The 22,867-nt window shown below is 50.2% G+C and overlaps 3 annotated features.

The window, feature by feature from the left end:
• Positions 15,252 to 16,237: an enhancer, noted in NCBI's record as "H3K27ac-H3K4me1 hESC enhancer chr10:133657035-133658020 (GRCh37/hg19 assembly coordinates)". NCBI's record gives its function as "activates a minimal SCP1, AML or CMV promoter by ChIP-STARR-seq in naive and primed H9 embryonic stem cells {active_cell/tissue: H9 hESC(naive and primed)}" and the evidence as "EXISTENCE:reporter gene assay evidence [ECO:0000049][PMID:30033119]".
• Positions 16,238 to 17,225: an enhancer, noted in NCBI's record as "H3K27ac-H3K4me1 hESC enhancer chr10:133656047-133657034 (GRCh37/hg19 assembly coordinates)". NCBI's record gives its function as "activates a minimal SCP1, AML or CMV promoter by ChIP-STARR-seq in naive and primed H9 embryonic stem cells {active_cell/tissue: H9 hESC(naive and primed)}" and the evidence as "EXISTENCE:reporter gene assay evidence [ECO:0000049][PMID:30033119]".
• Positions 17,226 to 18,213: an enhancer, noted in NCBI's record as "H3K27ac-H3K4me1 hESC enhancer chr10:133655059-133656046 (GRCh37/hg19 assembly coordinates)". NCBI's record gives its function as "activates a minimal SCP1, AML or CMV promoter by ChIP-STARR-seq in primed H9 embryonic stem cells {active_cell/tissue: H9 hESC(primed)}" and the evidence as "EXISTENCE:reporter gene assay evidence [ECO:0000049][PMID:30033119]".

Here is a 22,867-nt window from a genome sequence, read left to right as displayed (position 1 = left end):
GTGCGTGTGTATGTGGTGTGTATGTCTGCATGTATGTATGTGTGTGCATGTGTGTGTCTGTATGTGTGGTATGTGTGTGTTTTTGTGTGCATGTGTGTGCATGTGTGTGGTGTGTGTCTGTATGTGTGGTATGTGTGCATGTGTGTGTCTGTGTGGTGTGTGTTGCCAGTTTGTGTGTTTGTATGTGTGTGTATGTGTGTGTGTTTTCCTGTTACAGGAGTGATGGAAGCCCTTGTTGCTCCCTGGTGTCCTGGGCACAGCCCCTGCTTGTGGCTGATTTGCCCAAGAGAAGGTTGATGGGATGTGGGCGGCAAGCCAGCCAGGTGCCGAGGCAAGAGACCAAGGGCACGAGCTGTTCCAGTGTAATAAAATATATAAAATAAGAATAGTTATACTAGATCTAGATCACAGATATGATTATATATGAATATCATTCATCATTAGTTTGTAACAATTATTCTTTATTCCAATATTATAATAATCCTCACTCTACAATCATAACCTAGGAAAAACCAGGCCATACAGAGATAGGAGCTGAAGGGACATAGTGAGACGTGACCAGAAGACAAGAATGTGAGCCTTCTGTCGTGCCAGGACAGGGCCACCAGAGGGCTCCTTGGTCTAGCGGTAACGCCAGCGTCTGGGAAGATGCCCATTGCCAAGCGGACCATGGTCTAGTGGTAGCGTCAGTGTCAAGGAAAAACACCCGCTACTTAGCGGACTGGGAGAGGGAGTCTCCCTTTCCCCGGGGGGGGGTTTAAAGAAGACTCTGCTCCTCCACCTCCTGTGGAGGGCCTGATTGATGGAGGGCCCACACAGTCAGGCCCGCCCACAGTTTTCCAGAGGCCTAACTGTGTCCCTGTGATGCTGTGCTTCAGTGGTCATGCCCCTAGTCTGCCTTCATGTTCCGCCCTGTACACCTGGCTCTGCCTTTTAGATAGCAGTAGCAAATTAGTGAAAGTACTAAAAGTCTCTGATGTGCAGAAATAATAGTGCAAGCTGTCTCTCTCTCTCCCTGTCTCTCTCTGCCTCAGCTGCCAGGCAGGGAAGGGCCCCCTATCCAGTGGACACGTGACCCACGTGACCTTACCTATCATTGGAGATGGCTCACACTCCTTACCCTGCCCCTTTGTCTTGTATCCAATAAACATTAGCGCAGCCTGGCATTTGGGGCCACTACCAGTCTCCGCGTCTTGGTGGTAGTGATCCCCTGGGCCCAGCTGTCTTGTCTTTTACCTCTTTGTCTTGTGTATTTATTTTTACACTCTCTGGTCTCTGCACATGGGGAAAAAGACCCACCGACCCTGTGGGGCTGGACCCTACAACCGGACCTGACTCCCCACTCACCAGCTGGCTCCAAGGGGATCAGGGAGCCTGAACCATGGCACAGGATGATTTAGGTCCCCTGCCTGCTGCAGGACGTCCCTATGCTCACAGACCACAGCGGGCTCAAGGCCGGGAGAGCCAAGCCACGGAGCTAGCTGTATCTGAACAGGAGTGGCCGGGAGTGTGGGAGCCCTGGGAAGGAAGCAGGCAGGTGAAGTTTGAGTGTTATGAATTCAGACGCCAGTGTTCTGTCCTCCAACAAAGGAACCATGTTTTACAAACGTGGCCTTCTTACTGATGTATTTTGCCCAAGCTCATAAATCCCGCTTGTCAGAGAAAAGGCCACAGAGGAGCATGCCATTTCAGACATTTAAGTGGGTGCTTAAGTCCGTCTGCTTAGCTTGTGTACCACGCCTCTGGACTTGCATAAATCTTTCCCCTTCATCACTGTGGCAGGAGCTTCCCGGCCAGCTTGGATGTATGTGCAGGGACAGCAACTGGGGGGGATCTGGGGACAGAGGGGCTACACCGGGGCAGGCACCGGCAGACCACAGGACTGCTTATATTGCCTTGGGAGGCCAGTCTTCAGTGAAAGGGCAAGAGAAACCATCACTGTCTATGTGCTTATTCTGTTATCTGCGTATCGTCTTTGCAAAGTATGTGTTTAAATTTTTTGCCATTAAAGAGACCTGTGCCAGGCGCAGGGGCTCACACCTGTAATCTCAACACTTTGGGAGGCCGAGGCAAGAGGATTGCTTGAGCCCAGGAGTTCAAGACCAGTCTGGATGACAAAGTGAGACTCTGTCTCTGTTTATAATAGAAAAACATATAAAAAGAATACCTGGGTTGTTAGATTTCTCATGATTGAGGTAGAGAGTTATTTATATATTCTGAATACAAATTATTTATCAGATATGATTTGAAAATATTTTCGCCTCATCTGACTTATCTTTTTGTTCTCTTAACAGTATCTTTCAAAGAGTAGATATTTCTAATTTTGACAAAGTCCAGTTTACCAACTTCATAGGGATTATGCTTTTGGTGTCTCATTCAATGGCTTTTTGCCTAACCTCAAAAGTTATATTTTTTTCTATCTTCTCTTTTAAGAGTATTATAGATTTTCAAATGATGCTTAAGTCCATGATCTATTTTGAGTTAATTTTTGTATAAGGTGTAAGATATAGGGTGAAGTTCATTTTTTGTATGTATAAGTGTTCAAATTTCCCAGAAATATTTGCTGAAAACACAATTCTTTCCCCATTGAATTGTCTTTGCACTTTTGTCAAAATTGATTGACCGTGTGTGTAGGTCTATTTCTTGACTCTATTCGGATCCATTGATCTATATGTCTACCCTTTCACCAACATTACACTATCTTAATCAGTCATGTTTAAAGTAAGTAAAAATATGGCATTGTGAGTCTGCCAGCTTTGTTCTTTTTCAAAAATATATAAATTTTAGAAGCAGCATCAGCATGTCTATAAGAAATCTTATTGGGAGTTCATTTGGAATTGTATTAAATTTATAGATCATTTTGGGAAGAATTGATGTCTTAACTAAATCGAGTATTCCAGTCCATGATCATGGTATGTTTTTCCATTTATATAGGTGTTCTTTTATTTTTATTTTTTGGAGACAAGGTCTCACTTTGTCGCCTGGCTGGAGTGCAGTGGCATGAACACGGCTCACTGCAGCCTTGACTTCCTGGACTGCAGTGATCCTCTTGCCTCAGGCCCCCAAGTAGTTGGGACTACAAGCATGTGTCACCACACTTGGCTAATTTTTGTATTTTTTGTAGAGACAGGGTTTTGCCATGTTACCCAAGCTGGTCTCAAACTCCTGAGTTGAAGCAATCTGCCTGCCTTAGCCTCCCAAAGTGCTGGAATTATAGGCATAAGCCACCAGACCCAGCTGAATTTCCATTCTTTTAAATTTGTGGTGGCTGTTTTATGATCCAGAATGCAGTTTGGCAAATGCTTTATGTACACTTGAAAAGAGTTTGTATTTTGCTGTTTCTGGATAATGTGTTCTATAAATGCCAGTTCAGTCAAGTTGGTTGATGATGGTGTTCAAATTTTCTATATATTTGCTGTTTTTCTCTTTACTTGTTTTATTGATCACTGAGAGAGAAGTTTTGAAATCTCAAAATATAATTTCAGATTTGTCTATCTTTCCTTTCAGTTCAATAAGTTTTTGCTTCATGAATTTTGCAGCTCTGTTCTTAGGTATATATACATTTAGAATTGCTATGTCTTCTCAGTGAATTGAGCTTTTTATGATCATGTGATATGTCTTGTTGTGTCTGGTAATTTTTCTTGTTCTGAATTCTGTTTTGTGTGATATTAATATAACTACTCCAGCTTTCATTTGACTAGTGTTTTAATCATATTTTAAAAATCCTTTTCTTTTAACCTGTATCATCATATTTAAAGTGGGCTTTTAGACAGCATGTAGTTGGCTGAAGTGAAGTATCTGAAGAATGAAAAACAAATACTGTATGTTCACACTTATAACTGGGAGCTAAGCTACGAGGACATAAAAACATACAGAGTGATATAATGGACTTTGGAGGCTGGGGGACCAGGTTGGGAGGGGGGTGAGGAGTAAAAGATTACATATTGGGTACAGTATACACTGCTCAGCTGGAAGGTGCACTAAAATCTCAGAATTCACCACTATAGAATTCATCCATGTAACCAAAAAACACCTGTACTCCAAAAGCTAATAAAAAATCAATTTGACAATATCTGTCTTTTAATTGGTATTCTTGACCATTTTATTTTAATATAATTATTGATCATTGGATTTACCTCTACTATTGTATTTTTTGTGCTACTTATTTCCTTTGCCTTTGTTTTCTGTTTCCATTTTCCTGCCTTATTTTGGGTTATTTGAATATTTATTTTGCGTTGTATTTTAATGTACTTATTTGCTTTTAATTATATCTACTTGTGTAAGTTTTTAAGTGATTGGTCTAGGGATAACTACACACACACATACACACATGCATATATACACGCATATATATGTGTATATGTACACACACACACTTATCTTTTCAAAGTTTACTGAAAATTAATATTTTACCACATTAAGTGAAATGTAGAAACCTTATAGCCATGTAAGGCCCTTTACTCTTCCCTTTGTGTTTTGTAGTTACCTTATATATTACAGCTACATTTCCACAGAGCAAGGTTTTTCTCATGTATATTTCTTTTAATCATACATATTTTAAAGTATGTAAGAGGAGGAAACAGCCTGAATGGGTAATTCTTGAAGCTTCACTTCCTTCTGGGATTCCTTTCCTTCTCTCTGAAGAACTTCCTTTAGCATTTCTTTAGAGCAGGTCTTCTGGTGACAAATTCTCTTTGCTTCTCTTAAAATGTCTCTGTTTTATTTTAATCTCTGAAGGATACTTTCTCTGGAGGTAGAACCCTAGGTTGACAGTTCTTTTCTTTCAGCACTTTAAGTGGTTGCATCTCTGTCTTCTGGCCCCCACGATTTCTGATGAGAAATCTGCCGTTATTCAGTTTGGTAGTGCCCTATACATAATATGTCTTTACTCTACTTAAATTTTTTTTTTGTATCTTTGGTTTTCAGTAATTTTATTATGATGTGCCTCGGTGTGGTTTTCTTTGAGTTTATTTTATCTGGGATTTACTGAGATTCTTGAATCTCTAATTTTTTTTCTTTTTCCCAGTTTGGGAAGTTTTAATTTATTATTTTATCATATATGTGTATATATATTTGTACCATTTTTTTCTCATTCTTTTTTATTTTTATTTTTTGAGACAGATCCTCACTCCATTACCCAGGCTGGAGTGCAGCGGCATGACTACAGCTCACTGCAACCTTGACATCCCAGGTTCAAGTCATCCTCCCACCTCAGCCTCCCAAGTAGCTGGGACTACAGGCATGTTGTAGTCCACCACAGCTGGCTAATTGTTTTAAAAAATGTTTTTGTAGAGATGGGGGTCTCACTCTGTTGCCCAGGCTGCTCTCTAACTCCTGGGCTCAACGATCTTCCAGACTCAGCCTCCCAAAGTGTTGAGGTTACAAACACCAGCCATTGTGCCTGGCCTATTCCCTCATTCTGAGATTTCAACAATATGTTAGACTTTTTGATGTTTTTCAGAGGCCGTGAGACTTTGTCTTTTTTTCTTTTAATCAGATTGGATAATTTCTATTGATTTGTCTTCAAGTTTACCAATAATTTCCTGTGTCATCTCCATTCTGCTATAATGACATCCAGTGAATTCTTTATTTCGATTATTATATTTTTAAGTTCTAAAATTTCCATTTGGTTCTTCAATGTAGCTTCCATTTTTCTGTTGACAATTTCTATCTTGCCATTCATTTTATGAGCATTTAGCCTTACTTCATGGAAGATGGATATCTTAGCTGTTTTAAAGTCTTTGATGATTCTAACGTCTATGTCATCTTGAGAGTGGTGCCTTTGATGGCTTTTCTCTTTTCAAATGGCTAGTATTTTAGTTTTTCTGTATTGTGAATAATTTTGTATCATATTTCAGAAACTTAGATTTGATACTAAGGCACCCTTGATGCCCTCTGGCTGCCAGGTTCTGGGCTGAGGCTGTGAAGACACGGCTTTAACCTGGAGGCTGTGGAGTTTCCTGTGGGGAATTTCACTAATGTCCTAGTCTTGGTCCTGGCTCCAGAACCTTGTATCGGAATCACCTGTGGGGGAGTTGGCACACAGAGGGCTGTCCCTGGGGTTGTAGCTGAGTAAGCTATATCAGGGTCACCCATGGGGGTGTGGGTACACAGAGGGCTGCCCCGAGGACTCCAGCACAGTGAGCTGTGCTGGGGTCACCTGTGGGGGTATTTGCACACAGAGGGCTGTCCCGGGGCAGCAGCACACTGGGCTGGCATGTGGCCACACAACTGGCCTTTTAAATGTTCCTTGGATGACTGTCCAGTCTGTGGGGTGGGTGTTCTGGGGCCCAGAGTCAGCCTGTGCCCTCCCCATCACCCAGCAAGGCCCTCCTCGACCTCCGTGGTCGTGCCCATGCTCTGTGGCTCCACATACCCTCCCGGTGGTCTCTGAGGCAAGGGGGCCACTCCCCAGGCCCTCACCCTGAGGCTTCCTGGGCCTCCAGCTCCCTAATTTTGGTAGGGACTCAGGACTGCCCTAGGCTGCTGTCCCTGTCAGGGAGGGATGACACATTTGGGGCTTCCCTGGCGGAACAGGCAATGGGCCCCTCTCACCCTGTTGCTGGAAGGAGCCAGGCTGTGCGGTGGCCTTTTGGTTTTACTGTGACTTTGAGTTGCTCCCCAGGCCTAGGTCTGACAAAGGTGAACTTGGCGTTGAGTGTCCAATGGAGGCCTCAGGGGGCAGGGTCTGGGACTGCTGTGGGCTGGACAGGGCAGCTGGTTTGGCCTTGAGTGTCCAATGGAGGCCTCAGGGAGCAGGGCCTGGGACTGCTGTGGGCTGGACAGGGCAGCTGGTTTGGCCTTGAGTGTCCAATGGAGGCCTCAGGGGGCAGGGCCTGGGGCTGCTGTGGGCTGGACAGGGCAGCTGGTGCAGCGGGAGCTGTCTGCAAGCCTCTCCCACCTCGCTGCACTTTATTGAAATCTGTGAGAAAGACAAAGGTTTGCGCTGACAGTCCCTTGGGGAAAACTGCCTTCTGGAATAGGTTTCCATGTCCCTCTCAGGTGGGTGTGTGGGTGGGGATGAGAGCTGTGGCCACAACTGCAACCTTTGCCAGGCCCTGGTCATGGACCAGCAGGGGCTCCTGAGGGCCGTGAGTCCCTGCAAAGGCTGGTGAGCGCCCATGGGCTGCAGGAGGAGCCCACAGGTCTGAACACCTGCTTCACACGCCAGGGCCTTGGGCAGGCAGCGCCTCTTTCAGCCTCTGTGTCCCCAGCTGCGATGTGCAAAGGGCGTGTCCCAGTAGGGTGATGTCACAGAGTGGGTGCTCTCCTGCTCGGCCTCCAGGGCTGTCCCTCTGAGAGGGGGTGAGCTGTGCTGGGCTCTCCCTGAGCTCCTCCATCATCAAGTGGTCATTGTGCTGGGCTGACCTCTACTCACAATGGGCTTCCGTCTGCCCAGTAGAGCCTTCTCTGGGTGCACAGATGCCAGCACTCAACGATGGGGTGGGGACCAGCCTGGGCACGGGGGACGTCCTGGCCCATCCCAGGGTTTCTGGAGGGCGAGGGAAAACTCCTAGAATGGAACTGCCAATGGGCATGGGATTTCTTTTGGGGAATGAGAATGTTCTGGAACTGGAGCTTGGGGCAGTCGCATGGCCTGGGAAGTGCAGTAAATGCCACTGAGCTGTGCAACTTGAAGGGTGCATTTCATGCATGTGAATTATGTCTGAATAACAAGAAAAGCAGTCCCCAAGGATTTGCACGATGACTCACAGGGGCTATGAGAACTGGACTCTCTTGGAAGCTGCTGCTGCACCACAATTCATGTGACACCCGCTGTCCAGTGCATAGCACGGTGGGAACCTGCCATCCAAGGAGGTTGGGATTGGCTGTTGGTCAGGTATGTGCTCAAGAGGGAAATCAAAATATGAACAAATGTGGGGTTTTCCCTAGTCTTTCATTCGGGAGAATTCAGGCTCTCAATGAGGTGAAGGCCAAGCCAGGTGAACCCACAGACGCTAGCCTTTTGCCATCTTTGCTTTTCCACATTTGTGTGAATAGAGCATTTTCTTTTTGTTGAGCCATTTGAAAGTGACCCACAGCATGACTTTCTGCCTGTGCCTCCCCAAAAGTACAGCTTTCTCATGCACGGCCCAGTCCCTGTGATCCTGCCTAAGGAAATTAGTGAGAATTCCTTAAATCTGAATTCAGATCGCCCCAACTGGGCAAATCAATTTTTTATGACCCTTTCCATTGAACCAGGATCCAACCAAGGCTGGTGCGTTTCATTTGGGGGTTTTTCTCTTTAGTCTCTTCTGTTTCTACCTTCTTTTTCATGAAAAAGCATGACCCAGACTTTTTGGGGTGCCCAGGCCGGGCCTGCTGGTCAACGGGGCTGGTTGCGAAAGCTCCCAGGTGTGCACACCCATCTTCTCCACACCTCCACGCGGCGCCTGGGGTCTCCCAGTCTGGGCTTTGTGGGCTGAAGCCTATCAGGGCAGGAGGCTGGGCCTGTCTGGTTGGAGCCCGGAGGTGGTGGCAGAGCAGGTATAGAGTGTTCCCTTCCAGTTCTCCGCTCCCCTCCTTCCTGCCTCTCTCCGCTCTTCTCCAGGCCCTCTCCCTCTGCTCCCAGCTGCCCCAGAGGCGATGCTCCATCATGTTCTCTCCAAGGGAGACTGGCAGCACCTATTTCTGAAACCCGAGGCCGGGCTGCATGGCTCATGGAAGGGGCTGAGGATGCTGGGTCAGCTCAGGTCAGCCTCATCCCTGCTGGCATAGGGGAAGGGCATCTGAAGTGACAGACCCGGGAGGCCTGCACCAGCCACTGCACAGGCCTCCCCAGCACGGCTTCAGCTTCCACGTTTGGCCAGGAGAGACTGGGCTCTTCCCCGGGCACTCGGCAGTCCACTGTCCATCCCTTTTTATCTCTTCTTGATTCCAGATTGGTTCCTTGTTGTTTTCCTTTGTCCCGGAGGAGCCTCAGGGCTTTGCTCAATCAGGGCAAGGCCCACACACAGTGCTCAGAGCACAGCCGCGCGGAGCAAATGTCACCTTGCAAATAAACCAATGTCCATGTGGTACACTGAGCTGGACTGGGGAACATAGGAAGGCAAGTTTACACCCCTGCCTCTCTGTGGGACCGGCTTCCCCAGGGCTGCACTCCCAGCCGCACAAGCGTGGTGAACTCTGCAGCTGCCCCAGGTCTCTGGTTCTCTCCTTGTTCTCTCTGCGCCCCGCCCTCCAGGTCCCCGTTTCCCCATAGCCCTCGTCCCCTGTTAGCACAGCATGTAGCTCCCTTCTGGGCGGGGCTTGCTCTTGGCTCCACCAGGTCAGGGGCCGTTGCCTTCCCGTTCACCAGCCGGCCTGAGGGCCTCCATGGAGCCCACGCTCCCTGAGCATGCAGGAGCCACGCCTGGGCTATTGTGAGTTGAGTGTGATGGCGAGTAAAGGAGAGGTGGCGGGTAAAGAGGTACCTGTTGATGGTTGCCCTGCGTTCATGGCAAGCCATCCTGGCTTTCTTTTTAGGGAAAAAATGTGAACCTGGCAAAAACAGAAAGTGTTATTGAATTCTCTCTAAATCCTATTCTTTCCAGAAAGCTGGAAGCCCGCACCTGCTCTCCCTTTGTTGAAGGAGAGATGAGCAAGAGGTATAGAGGTGCAAACAGAGACCTTCTCTCAGAGGAAGTGGAGGGAGGGCAGGGCGTGGGGCAGGGACCTGGCAGCACTCTAGGAGTGAGTCAGGCTTAGCTAAAGCCACCTCCATGTCCCACCTGGAATCCATGTCCACATCCTAGATTCAGGGAATACAGCCCGAGGCTGGCAGGGTGGTGAGCCTCATGTGACCATTACAGCCTCAGTAGGGTCTGAGGGCAGCATCCGTCCTCCAGCTTGGCTCCTGCCTCCTGTCAGCTCTGAAACTCTTTGATGTCTAAGTGGACATGGTGGTCTGGGATCTGGCCTGGCTGCCAGCCAGGGTTTTGAGAGCTGCCCTGGATGTGCTGAGCTCACAGTGCTGTGGGTGGATGCGGTCAGTGGAGTGGGCAACCCCAGCAGGTGCACGTGATTCTGTGCACAGAGGGCTGGTGCCCAGGACCCGCTGACCCTCCACAGCCCATCGTCAGCCCAGTGTCCCCTCAGCACCTGCACCTGGTTGCCTGTTCATTGGATGGCAACCATAACAGGTTTCAGAGCTCAACCGCAGGGCCCTGGGTCAGGCACACGCCTGCAGCCAGGGACCCAGGGACTCTTGCAGCCGCTGCTTCCTCATGCCAGAGCCAAACTGAAGGAACAGCCGCTGCCCGGGATGAGCCAAGCTGCAGTGACACTCAACCCTGGAGCAGGCGCAGCAGCACGGCCCAGCCTGGTGCCGTCCCCAGTTCTGCAGACATGAACAATGGAGCAGCAAGGGCCATTTAAAACTATGAGGTGGGCTGGACATGGTGGCTCATGCCTGTCATCCCAGCACTTTGAGAGGCCAAGGAGGGCAGATCACCTTATGTCAGGAGTTCAAGACCAGCCTGGCCAAGATGGTGAAACCCCATCTCTACTAAAAATTCAAAAAATTCCCCGGGTGTTGTGGTGCATGCCTGTAATCCCAGGTACTTGGGAGGCTGAGGCAGGAGAATCGCTTGAACCCGGGAGGTGGAGGTTGCAGTGAGCTGAGATCACGCCATTGCACTCCAGCCTGGGCAACAGAGCGAGACTATGTCTCAAAAACAAACAAACAAATAGACAAACAAACAAACAAATAAATAAACAACAAAAAAACTGTGAGGTGCCCCGAATGCATTTTTTTCCCTTAAAGTTATGAGCATTCTTTCCTAGAGCGATGATAGCCTCACACACGTCTTCTCTGATAGAGGAATGCTGCAGGGCTTGCGTGGTGATTTACGCAAACCTTCTGCGTTGGGCGGACGTAAAGTCGTCCTGGATTTTAGGTGGGGCTGTTGACCTTTGATGACTGGAATCGTTTTGAGCAGGGGGATCACAATGAGAAGTGGCGTTGACAAGAGCATTGTCTGGTCCTAGGCACATTGCACAGGTGAGGAACAAGCTGGAGCCATCTGGGGGAGAGCAGGGCTTGACCCAGAAGGTTCTGGTGGCATGGACATGGAACTCCGTGGGATGTGGGGGTGAGGGTGGGCGAGTCGAGGAGGACTTGACCCAGTCGAGTTGCTGGGGAGGGGGTGTGGGAGCTGATGAACGTGGTTTGGGAGGTGAAGTCTAGAGTCACACAGTGTCTTTGTGGCTTCCCCAGTGGCTGTCGTGGCCTGCAGGAGGCTTGCCAGCTGGTGCAGACTCACACTGAGGGGGATTCAGAGGAGCTCCCTGGAGTGGGGCTGCCCCGGGGAGCTTCCTGCCAGGGTGGGGGTGCTGGGATCCTGGGCCCACTGCAGGCCATTCGAAATCCTGCCTCCTCCAAATCTCAGTTCTAGGCTTTTAGGATGGCTCTTAGTTATCACCAAAAATGTCATGGCCAGAATGCAAGGTGCTGCCTGGGGTGACAGTGCAGGCTGCTGGCACTGTCCCCAGTGGAGGGACTGCCTCAAGGACCTACTGTGTCCCAGCAAAGGTGCAGTGGCCGGGACAGGAACCCCTGTGGGCAGCTGGCCCACATCAGTGTTCTGTGAGCCCGATTTGGACTCTCCTGGTCGGATTGCTGGCTTCAGACCTGCCTCCCTGTTTCCTGGTGGGTGCAGCTGGTGATTCCCCTGAGATCCCAGGTGGGAAGTCCATGCCCTGGAGTGCAGCCCTGGAATCCCGGCCAGACCTGGCCCTTGGCTCTTCCCTCCTTATGCCCTGGATTCCTCAGGAGGGAGACGCGAGTAAAGTAGGAAGCTGCGGCAGCGAACGTGTGGATGGGAAGTTCTCTTCGGTTGTGGGATGAGCCAGCACTTCTGGCAGAAGAAAAGTAAGTGGCATTGGCATCTATGACAAACCCACAGCCAGCATCATACTGAATGGGGAGAAGGTCGAAGCACTCCCCCTGAGAATAGGAACAAGACAAGGATGCCCACTCTCACCACTTCTATTCAACATAGTTCTGGAAGCCCTAGCCAGAGCAAGAACGCAAGAGAAAGATTATTGGAAAAGAGGAAGTCAAAATATCACTGTTTGCTGACGATATGATTATATACCTAGAAAATCCTAAAGACTCCCCCAAAAGACTCTTGGATTTGATAAACGAATTCAGTAAAGTCTCAGGTTACCAAAGCAGTGTACACAAATCAGTAGCACCAACAACAACGAAGCTGAGAATCAAATCAAGAACTCAATCCCTTTACAATAGCTGCAAAAAAAAAAAAAACTCCCACAAAAAACCAAAAAACCTAAGTATACACCTAACCAAGGAGGTGAAAGATCTCTACAAGGAGAACTACAAAACACTGCTGAAAGAAATAATAGATGACACAAACAAATGAAAATGCATCCCATGTTCGTGGATTGGAAGAATCAATATTGTGAAAATGACCATACTACTCAGAGCAATCCATAGATTCAATGCAATTCCCATCAAAATACCATCATCATTTTTCCCAGAATTAGAAAAAAAAATCCTAAAATTCATATGGAACCGAAGAAGAGACCTAATAGCCAAAGCCATCCTAAGCAAAAAGAACAAATCTGGAGGCATCAGATTAGCAGACTTCAAATTATACTACAAGGCTATAGAAACCAAAACAGCATGGTACTGGTATAAAAGTAGGCACATAGACCAATGGAATAGAATAGAGAACCCAGAAATGAAGCCAAATAGGTACAGCTAACTGATCTTTGACAAAGCAAACAAAAACATAAACTGGGGAAAAGACACCCTATTCAATAAATGGTGCTGGGAAAATTGGATAGCTGTATGCAGAAGAATGAAACTAGATCCCTATCTTTCACCTATACAAAAATCAGCTCAAGATGGGTCAAAGACTTAAATATAAGACCTGAAACTATAAAAATTCTAGAAGATAACAATGGAAAAACTCTTCTAGACATCAGCCTAGGCAAATAATTCGTGACTAAGACCTCAAAAGTAAATGTAACAAAAATAAACATAAATAGATGGGACCTAATTAAACTAAAAAGCTTCTGCAAAGCAAAAGAAATAATCAGCAGAACAGACAACTTACAGAGTGGGAGAAATATTTGCAAACTACACATCCGACAAAGGATTAACATCCAGAATTTACAAGGAACTCAGACAAATCACCAAGAAAAACACCAAATAATTCCATTAAAAAGTGGGTAAAGGTCATGAATAGACATTTCTCAAAAGAAGATATACAAATGGCCAACAAACATATGGAAAAATGCTCATCACTGCTCATCAGATAAATGCAGATCAAAACCACAATGAGATACCATCTCATGCCAGTTAGATTGGGAATCAGTAAAAAGTCAGGAAACAACCGATGCTGGAGAGGATGTGGAGAAATAGGAACGCTTTTACACTGTTGGTGGGAGTGTAAATTGGTTCAACCATTGTGGAAGACAGTGTGGCGATTCCTCAAGGATCTAGAACTAGAAATACCATTTGACCCAGCAATCGCATTACTGAGTATATACCCAAAGGATTATAAATCACGCTACTATAAAGGCACATGCACACGTATGTTTACTGTGGTACTATTCACAATAGCAAAGACTTGGAGCCAACCCAAATGTCCATCAATGATAGACTGGATTAAGAAAATGTGGCACATATACACCATGGAATACTATGCAGCCATAAAAAAGGATGAGTTCATGTCCTTTGCAGGGAAATGGATGAAGCTGGAAACCATCATTCTCAGCAAACTATCACAAGGACAGAAAACCAAACACCGCATGTTCTCACTCATAGGTGGGAACTGAACAATGAGATCACTTGGACACAGGGCAGGGAATATCACACACTGGTGCCTGTCGCAGGGTGGGGGCCTGGGGAAGGGATAGCATTAGGAGAAATACCTAATGTAAATGATGAGTTGATGGGTGCAGCAAACCAACATGGCACATGTATACCTATGTATCAAACCTGCACGTTGTGCACATGTGCCCTAGAACTTAAAGTATAATTAAAAAAAAATACGCCCCCGACTTCATCACTTTACTTCCAAGTGCATTTCCCTACTCTGGTCCTGGTTACAGCTTAAATGCAAACATATTCCTGGAGTAGGCAGAATTCAGCTACTGCTGTGGGAAATACTTTTATAAGTTATGCAGAAATGGAACTGAAGGGAAGTTTATTTGTTAGTAAGCGTAACTTGTGCCTGCAGAAGAAAAGCAAGATGTGGGAAGAAGCCTGTGTTTTGGGGAGTCTGTTTCCTCCCGCTGCAGCTGAGGAAACCTACGGGCCTGGGAGCGCATGTGTCTAGCACATGAATGGAGGGGAGAGGATGCCCTTCCCTCCCGTTCTGGTGGAGGAGCAGAGGCAGGAGAGGGCAGTGCACATAGAGCGTTTGGTCATGGTCCTTAGAGCCGTGCTTCATAGAGCATTGTGGATACCCAGCGAACAGAAAAAGGCAGCCACACCCGTGCATGCTTCGAATTGGGCTGCCATGCTGGGAGGGCAATGAGATGTCCCCAGAACTTGCCCTGGAGGCCCAGCACAGGCTGGGGCCGGGAGCCCTGTCTGCAGAACCATCAGGAGAGGCTGCAGCGGAGCCTAGTGATGCCTCCAGCAGGCCCAGCTTCCTGGCCAAGCTTCCACTGAGTCAGTGGACTTTTTTATTTGGGAGCAACTCGGCTCACAAACTGGCCATCAGGGGATGTGCAAAGAAACATCTCTAAGAAAACCCTCTGTGACACCTGCTCAAAGAGATCGATGCTTTCTGTTTGCTTTAGGATCAGACCTGTTTTTATTTACTTGAGCGGCCAGTCACCTGGGGAGAGGGCTGGAACGCTGAACTGACTTGGCCGTCCAGAGAGCTGGCAGCTCTGATGCATAGTTCATATTTCTCCACTGATTAAAAAAAAATCCGTACTAATTTTAAAAATAGAACCAAAAAGGACGTTAAATTCAATGACTTCATTAGTGGAATACATTGTTTAGTTATTTATCTTAAAGTAAACTATTTTCGTGACTATTTTCTACCATTTGGAGAACAGAATTTATTCTCTCAGGGAACACATTCATACATTCAGACATTTCAAAAAAGATGAGCTTCAAATGATTAAAAACTCAAGGGACTGCAAGTTCCAACGGAATCGTTGAAAGTTACCGCCAGTTCTGAGGGCTCTTGGTCTCTGTCTCCTGAGTCAGAGTTGCATGCAGAGCCGGTGCTGGAGGAAACGTCCCACTCAAACATTCTCAGCAAGTACAAAGGGACGCAGCTGGTGCTCCGTACACACTTCAGGGCTGCCTTGTAATAGGACTAGAAGGGACTATCTGCCCCAAAGCATCAGAATCTTTCATGTGAGCGTTCCAGCCCCGTGTGCGCACACACCAGTAACCTGAATTCTGATGTCTAGCACAGGGTGAAGAACACAGCTGTTTTCTAATATTTAGCATGCTGATGTAATCACAACACCCACTGTTTGATTTTGTTTTTCTAGTGTCATTAACATTCTGTGTTTCTTTTCCCCTGGAATGTGTCTGGAGAAAGTGGATAAAATCCAGGGAGGCTACCCTAGAGGGGCTTCAGGTCAGCCAAGTGGGTCTGACCGACTGTGTCCCCTAAGCTTGTGGAATGGGACTGGAAACCTGGCACGTGGTCTGTGGGTGGGGTCTGATGGTGGAGGTGGTCTAGGAAAGGTGGGAAAGCTGCCGAAGGAAGAGGCGGAGGAGGAACAGGGGGCAAGTGAAGGCCCCAGGTGCCGTGTGTGCTGCCTTGGTGTCTGGGGACATGGGGGTGGGGGGACATCACTGCTGGCTCCCCTCCCCCTCTGCTCCTGAGGACAGGGGCTCTCAGCCACACAGCCCAGCCTGTCATCCCCGAGCAAAGGTTCCGGCTCCCTGCTGGCCCGCAGGATGATTCAGAGCAGCTCACCCCATCCCCCTGCGGGGCCCGCGGACACCACCCTCTTGTTCCTGAGCTGTCCACCCCTGCAGCCCTGCGGCTCACTCTGCCCCGAGAGCTTCCTCCCTGTGACCCTGTGTGGCCTGAAGTTTCCTCCCCTGGGTGGTGAGCCTGTGGGACTGAGAAACTGTTGCCCCCTCGTCTGTCCAGTGCTGGGCACCCTGCGTCTGACCATCCCTTGAGCCCTAGGCGGGGAATCCCTTCCTCACCAGCCCCGTGAAGAGGACTCGGCTAAAACACAAGCCGCCTCCCAGGTCGCCCTCTGAGCTCTGCCGGAGCCCTGGGCAGGAACTCCCTCCTCAGGCTCCCTCCTCCTCAGGGGTCTTCACTGGCCTCTCGGGGCTTCCTCTGGCCCGCACAGGTCTCTGGGGCACACACTCTCGCTTCCTAGGCAGTCCTTCGGGTGCAAATGACAGATGGCACCTGTGGGCCGCGTGCCTGCCAGTGCCAGCAGGGGAGCCCCCCAGGCAGACACCAGTCTGGCCACTGCCCACCCATGGCTCCCCTCTTCACCCTGGAGGCTGAGCTGTCTGGGCTGAAGCCACCACAGGGAAGACCTCAGTGGCCCAGTTAGGCTCAGTAGGGAGAAGGGGAGGGAGGTGAGCGACGGAGGGGCTTGACTCCTTCAGCTCCTGCCCTGCCCAGCAGCGCAGGTGGACTCCCTATCTGGGGCCTGCGTCTCCTGTGGGGGTGCAGGTGACTCCCTATCTGGAGCCTGCGTCTCCTGTGGTGTTGTAGGTGGACTCCCTATCTGGGGCCTGCGTCTCCTGTGGGGGTGCAGGTGACTCCCTATCTGGAGCCTGCGTCTCCTGTGGGGGTTTAGGCGGACTCCCTATCTGGTGCCTGCGTCTCCTGTGGGGGGTGCAGGTGACTCCCTATCTGGGGCCTGCGTCTCCTGTGGGGGTGCAGGTGACTCCCTATCTGGAGCCTGCGTCTCCTGTGGGGGTGTAGGTGGACTCCCTATCTGGGGCCTGCGTCTCCTGTGGGGGTGCAGGTGACTCCCTATCTGGTGCCTGCGTCTCCTGTGGGGGGTGCAGGTGACTCCCTATCTGGGGCCTGCATCTCCTGTGGGGGTGCAGGTGACTCCCTATCTGGGGCCTGCGTCTCCTGTGGTGTTGTAGGTGACTCCCTATCTGGGGCCTCCGTCTCCTGTGGGGGTGCAGGTGACTCCCTATCTGGGGCCTCCGTCTCCTCTGTGGGTGCAGGTGACTCCCTATCTGGGGCCTGCGTCTCCTGTGGGGGTGTAGGTGACTCCCTATCTGGTGCCTGCGTCTCCTGTGGGGGTGCAGGCGGACTCCCTATCTGGGGCCTGCGTCTCCTGTGGGGGTGCAGGTGACTCCCTATCTGGTGCCTGCGTCTCCTGTGGGGGTGTAGGCAGACTCCCTATCTGGAGCCTGCGTCTCCTGTGGGGGTGTAGGCGGACTCCCTATCTGGGGCCTGCGTCTCCTGTGGGGGTGCAGGCGGACTCCCTATCTGGGGCCTGCGTCTCCTGTGGGGGTGCAGGTGACTCCCTATCTGGTGCCTGCGTCTCCTGTGGGGGTGTAGGCAGACTCCCTATCTGGAGCCTGCGTCTCCTGTGGGGGTGTAGGTGGACTCCCTATCTGGGGCCTGCGTCTCCTGTGGGGGTGCAGGTGACTCCCTATCTGGGGCCTGCGTCTCCTGTGGGGGGTGCAGGCGGACTCCCTATCTGGGGCCTGCATCTCCTGTGGGGGTTGCAGGTGGGCTCCCTATCTGGGGCCTGCGTCTCCTGTGGGGGTGTAGGTGGACTCCCTATCTGGGGCCTGCGTCTCCTGTGGGGGTGCAGGTGGACTCCCTATCTGGTGCCTGCGTCTCCTGTGGGGGTGTAGGTGGACTCCCTATCTGGGGCCTGCGTCTCCTGTGGGGGTGCAGGTGGACTCCCTATCTGGGGCCTGCATCTCCTGTGGTGTTGTAGGTGGACTCCCTATCTGGGGCCTGCATCTCCTGTGGGGGTGTAGGTGGCTCCCTATCTGGTGCCTGCGTCTCCTGTGAGGGTGCAGGTGGACTCCCTATCTGGGGCCTGCGTCTCCTGTGGGGGTGCAGGTGGACTCCATATCTGGCAATTCCTCTGGGCTCCACTCTGCTGGCCGCCCCCTCCACCTGAGTGATAGGAGCCATTGCCAGCCCAGGCACCGCGCTGACCTCATCCTGGAGGCCCCACCTGCTGCCCCACTCTCACCCCCACGGAGCAGTGTCTGGATCACTATTTATTGGCTGTGTTCATTTGCCTCAGACTGAAGCCTGATATTCCCTTCTGGCTGGGCATAAGGGGAGGATATATGAGGGTTGATTTGGAGGAGGTCCGAGCTCAGTCTTTTTATCAAGGGAAATGGTGATTAGTACTTCAAATAAGCTTGGAGGCCTGGGTGGAGAAGGCCACGTTTCTGTGCAGATTTGAGCTTACAGATCCGCGTTGCCGGCCCCTCGTTCCTGGGAAGACCTGGCTGGGGTCTGCGGGCTCTGAGTGGCTGCTCCAGCTTCCTCTCCAGTGCCCGGCTGCTGTGCCTCTGGTCATGACGGACCCTTTGTCATTTCTTGTCACTTCTGGGCCCTGCGCCTGCAGGCAGTCCTCGGCTGGAAGGATTTTTGTAGATCCCCATCTCCCCTTCTCTGACCAAGGCCTGCCATTTTCTTCTGATGACCTCGGCTGCCTTGGCTCTGGGAAGGGTGACCTCGTCCCTGCTGACTGTCTGTGGGGGTGGCTGTGTCCCTCATAGCTCAGACTTTCCTCCATCGTGAACTTCTTTGGGCTTCATGCCCTGGCATCTGGTCTCCTCTCTGTCGGAGGCCTTGAGGGCAGGGGCCATGTTCCTTTCATCCTGAGTCCTGGCCCCAGTCCCTGCACCCTCTGCTGCCTGGAAAAGGGGCTTCCTGGATGCTGGAGATGGGCGTGGTGGGGCACACACACTCCTGTGTACACCATCGCCACTCTTCTGTCTGTCTCCAGCAATACGGGACATGTCTAAGGCTGTAGAATGGTCCCATTCAGCCCTTCCAGTTTGGCGAAAAGGACAACTTTGCAGACTCTTTTGGGAAGTCTTGCTCATGCATCATGACTTTCAACTCTGAACGAAGACCCGAGAGATGAGACCACATGGAGAGCTGAGAACTCGACGGCTGTGCTGTGGGCATTTCCACCTGTGGACTGTCCAAGTGGTAACTCCCAACCTGGTGACTTTACCCACATGGGTAGAGGTCAGAAGTATTGATTGATTCTTGTTGAATTTTGAAATCTTTGTGACCTAGAGGTTCTTTTCTTAAACTTTTTTTTTTTTGAGACAGGGTCTCTCTCTGTGCTCACTGTGGGTAGGAGACACCACTGGCTTGGCCCAGGGCGTATGATGTGGGTTGGGGGTGTGTCTCTGATCCCTCCCCTAGTCTAACCCGCCATCCCTGAGGGGTGTGGGGCTGCTGGCTCGCTTTCTGAGCATCCATGTGCCCCATGCTGCCCACATCTCTAGCTTCTAGTATTGCTGCCATGAAATTCATTTGGTTTCATATATCTGCATAAATAATTTAATTTAAATGACTTTCATCACTGAGACCTGCCTGTTACTGTGAAATTTACAAAGATGAACCTACCCACTTTGAATATTGATCAGCATGGTAGAAATTTTTTTTTAGGCTAAACAGTGACATAATTGTGGCTAGGGAAAAAAAATCTAGTGAACTCTAAGCAAAATGGCCTCAGATAATTCCCAGGGTTCTGACTGCTAACATGAACCACTTAAAAAGCGTCAGAAAGGAGACTTTTAAATAATGGAGTAAAGTGAAGGTACCAGCTGCCTTTTACTGCTGTAACAAATGATCACAAACTTAAAACAACGCAAATTTATTCTTTTATAGTTCTGGAAGTCAGAAGTCTGAAATGGGTCTTACTGGGCTAAAATCAAGGTATCGGCAGGGCTGGTTCCTTCTAGAGGCTCCAGGGAGGATTAGTTTCCGCACTTTCTCTGGCTTCCACAGGCCACCCTGTGTCTTGGCTCATGGCCGCTCCCTGCATCTTCAAGGCCAGCCTCTTTCCTGCCCTGACCCTCCTACCTCTCTGGCATAAGGCCCCTTACAATGCCAAGGACCCAACCAGCAAGCCCAGGGGACTCTTCCTGTCTCAAAACCCTCAATTTAATCGCCTCTGCAAAGCCCCCTTTGCCACATAAAATAACATATTCCTGCGTTTCAGGGTTGAGACACGGACACATTTTTCAGGGCGGTGTTATCCTGCGGACCACAGGCTGGGTCTTCAGATCCATCACGAATCATCACTTTTGGGACAGGCCATGTAAATCCTTTTCCTGTGGGTGGAAAATGAGGCAGGTGGAGGGAATGGGGGTGCATGCTTTTGTCGTGATGCCGTCCAGCCCGGCTTCTTTAGAAACATTTCTAATTAGGAACACATTTATTGAAATCTTTGCAACCTAGAGATTTTTTTTTAAATTAATGGCATTCCCAGTGACCTGGATAGATTGGAGACTATTATTCCAAGTGAAGCAACTCAGGAATGGAACACCACACATCACATGTTCTCACTCATAAGTGGATGCTAAGCTATAAGGACGACACAATGGACTTTGTGGACTTGGGGAAAGTGTGGGAAGGGGGTGAGTGGTAAAAGACTACAAACTGGGTGCAGTGTATACTGCTTGGGTGATGGGTGCACAAAAATCTCACAAATCACCCCTAAAGAACTTACCCATGTAACCAAACATCACCTGTGCCCCAATAATTTAAAAAATTCTTCACCTTTTTTTTTTTCTTTGAGACGGTCTCCCTCTATCACCCAGGCTGGAGTGTGGTGACACGATTATGGCTCACTGCAGCCTGGACCTCCTGGGCTCAAGTGATCCTCCCTCCTCAGCCTCCGGAGTAGCTGGCATTACAGGTATGAGCCACTGCACAGGACCCTTTTAAAAAACTTTTTATTTGGATATAATTGTAGGTTTACATGCAATTGTAAGAAATGATAGAGAGAGACCCTGTGAGCCTTTCACCCAGTTCCCCCATGGAGCATCGTGCCTAACTCACTCCAGTACAGGGTCATAGCCCTTCACCCAGTTCCCCCATGGGGCATCTTGCCTAACTAACTCCAGTACAGTGTCACAACCCTTCACCTACTTCCCCCATGGAGTATCTTGCCTAACTCCAGTACAGGTTTGCAGCCCTTCACCCAGTTCCCCCATGGAGCATCTTGCCTAACTAACTCCAGTACAGGGCAGGGTTGCAGCCTGGAAGTTGGCTTGATGAAGTCCAGTGTGCTCATGTGATTTCACCAGTTTTATGTTCATCTACACAGTTTTATCACAAGTGCACACTCGTGTAACCACCGCTGCAGTCGGGTACGCAGCAGTTCCACCACGCAGACCTGCCCCCGCCTTTATGACCGTAGCCACCCCCGCAGCAAACCCAGCATGGTCCTTTCACTCAGGCCGATTCTGGGGAAACCTGAGTAGGCCCACGTGCGGAGGTGGGGCTGCCTGGTGGGCTGCGCCTGCAGAGCCTGGGGTCAGTCGTGATCGTTCTGCCCCTTGGCCTTGCACCCTCCCTGGGGAATGTGCGGTCACAGCAGCTTTAACCCACGAGCCCCTGCTGTGACACCACACGGCCTGAAAGAGAGAGTCTCGCCATATGGAGATGCCGTGCAGAGGGCAGTGTAGAAACCCGGCGCATGTTCAGTTGCAGAGGGGGCCGCAAGTCTCTGTGGCTAACTGCTCCGGTGTCCGGTGGTTTTTGTTTTTAGAGGACTGGACCCTCTTTAGTGGAAAGCTGGTTGAAAAGGAAGAGCCACCAGCCTGGGACTCCTGGAGCGTGTGGTCACTGCTCCGCCCCTGGGTCTGACTCCAGAAAGCCCAGATGGAGATTTGGGTGATGTCACTTGAGCCGGTGCTGCCGGAGGTGTTTCATTCAGAATATAACCTGGGGGCACTATCCTGCCTCCTCTTGGCTTGGTGCCAGGATGTTGTTCCTTCGAAGGCTCTCGGTCGTCCATGGAGGGTGGAGTGCCAGGTGCATCCGCAGTCTGGGGGCTGGGGCACGTGAGCGGCTGACCCCTGCGGTGTTCCAGTGGCTGTGATGCGTGCATGAAATTTCACACAGAGACCCCAGAGCTCTCAGGAACTCACCTTTTTGCCCACCCCCAGCCTCCTCACATGTGGCATCTGCATGTGAATTAGCCCAAGATCCTAATTGTGTTCAATCCCTACACACTGTGTTCTCCAAAGGGAAATGGAAAGGGACTGTCTTCACTGCCGCTTTCTTCACGCCGGAGTTCTCGGAAAGTACAGTAGGGAGGCCATGGGATCAGCACCTGACGGGGGACAGCCGGGCTCACACCGGAGGGCGGCGGGGTCTCCTGGCACCTAGGCCACTCTCCCCCGGCTTGTTGCACTCCCACAGTGTGGGGCTCTGCACCAACCTCTTTCCCTCTGTGGGTTTGCATATGCTGTTCCCTCTGCCTGGCATGCTGTTCCTGCCACACTTCACCTGGCCTGTGCCTGTGTGTCCTTAGAGTTCCTGCCTGAATGTTCATGGGAGACCTTTCCTGGGTGCACCACATCTGAAGTCATCCTCCTGGTCGTTCTCTACTTCAGCTCCTTGCTAGTTTCTGTCCAACCAAGTAATTACTTAATTCATGGACTTTGAGGGTGGTTTCTCCCACTCGACACACACTCTGTTGGGGAGACTGCATCCTCTCTGCACACTCCAGCAGATAAGAGGTGAGTAAACAAGCAAAGGGAGGGATGCACACCTTCCCCAACCCACCACACACCAGAGGGACACGCAGCAAGAAAGCCACTTCGCTGACCCTCCAGACTGCGGGGGAGCAGAGCTGGCCAGAGGCACCCGAGGCAGGGAGGAGTCCATTGTCCTCTACGGTCAGAGCACCTGGCCGAGGGCCCAGCCAGCATCTCAGCCAGGGGCCC

This window comes from Homo sapiens, chromosome 10 (genome assembly GCF_000001405.40).
Source record: "Homo sapiens chromosome 10, GRCh38.p14 Primary Assembly".
Lineage (NCBI taxonomy): Eukaryota > Metazoa > Chordata > Mammalia > Primates > Hominidae > Homo > Homo sapiens.
The sequence above is the reverse complement of the archived record's forward strand: the minus strand, read 5'-3'. Positions and strand labels throughout refer to the sequence as shown.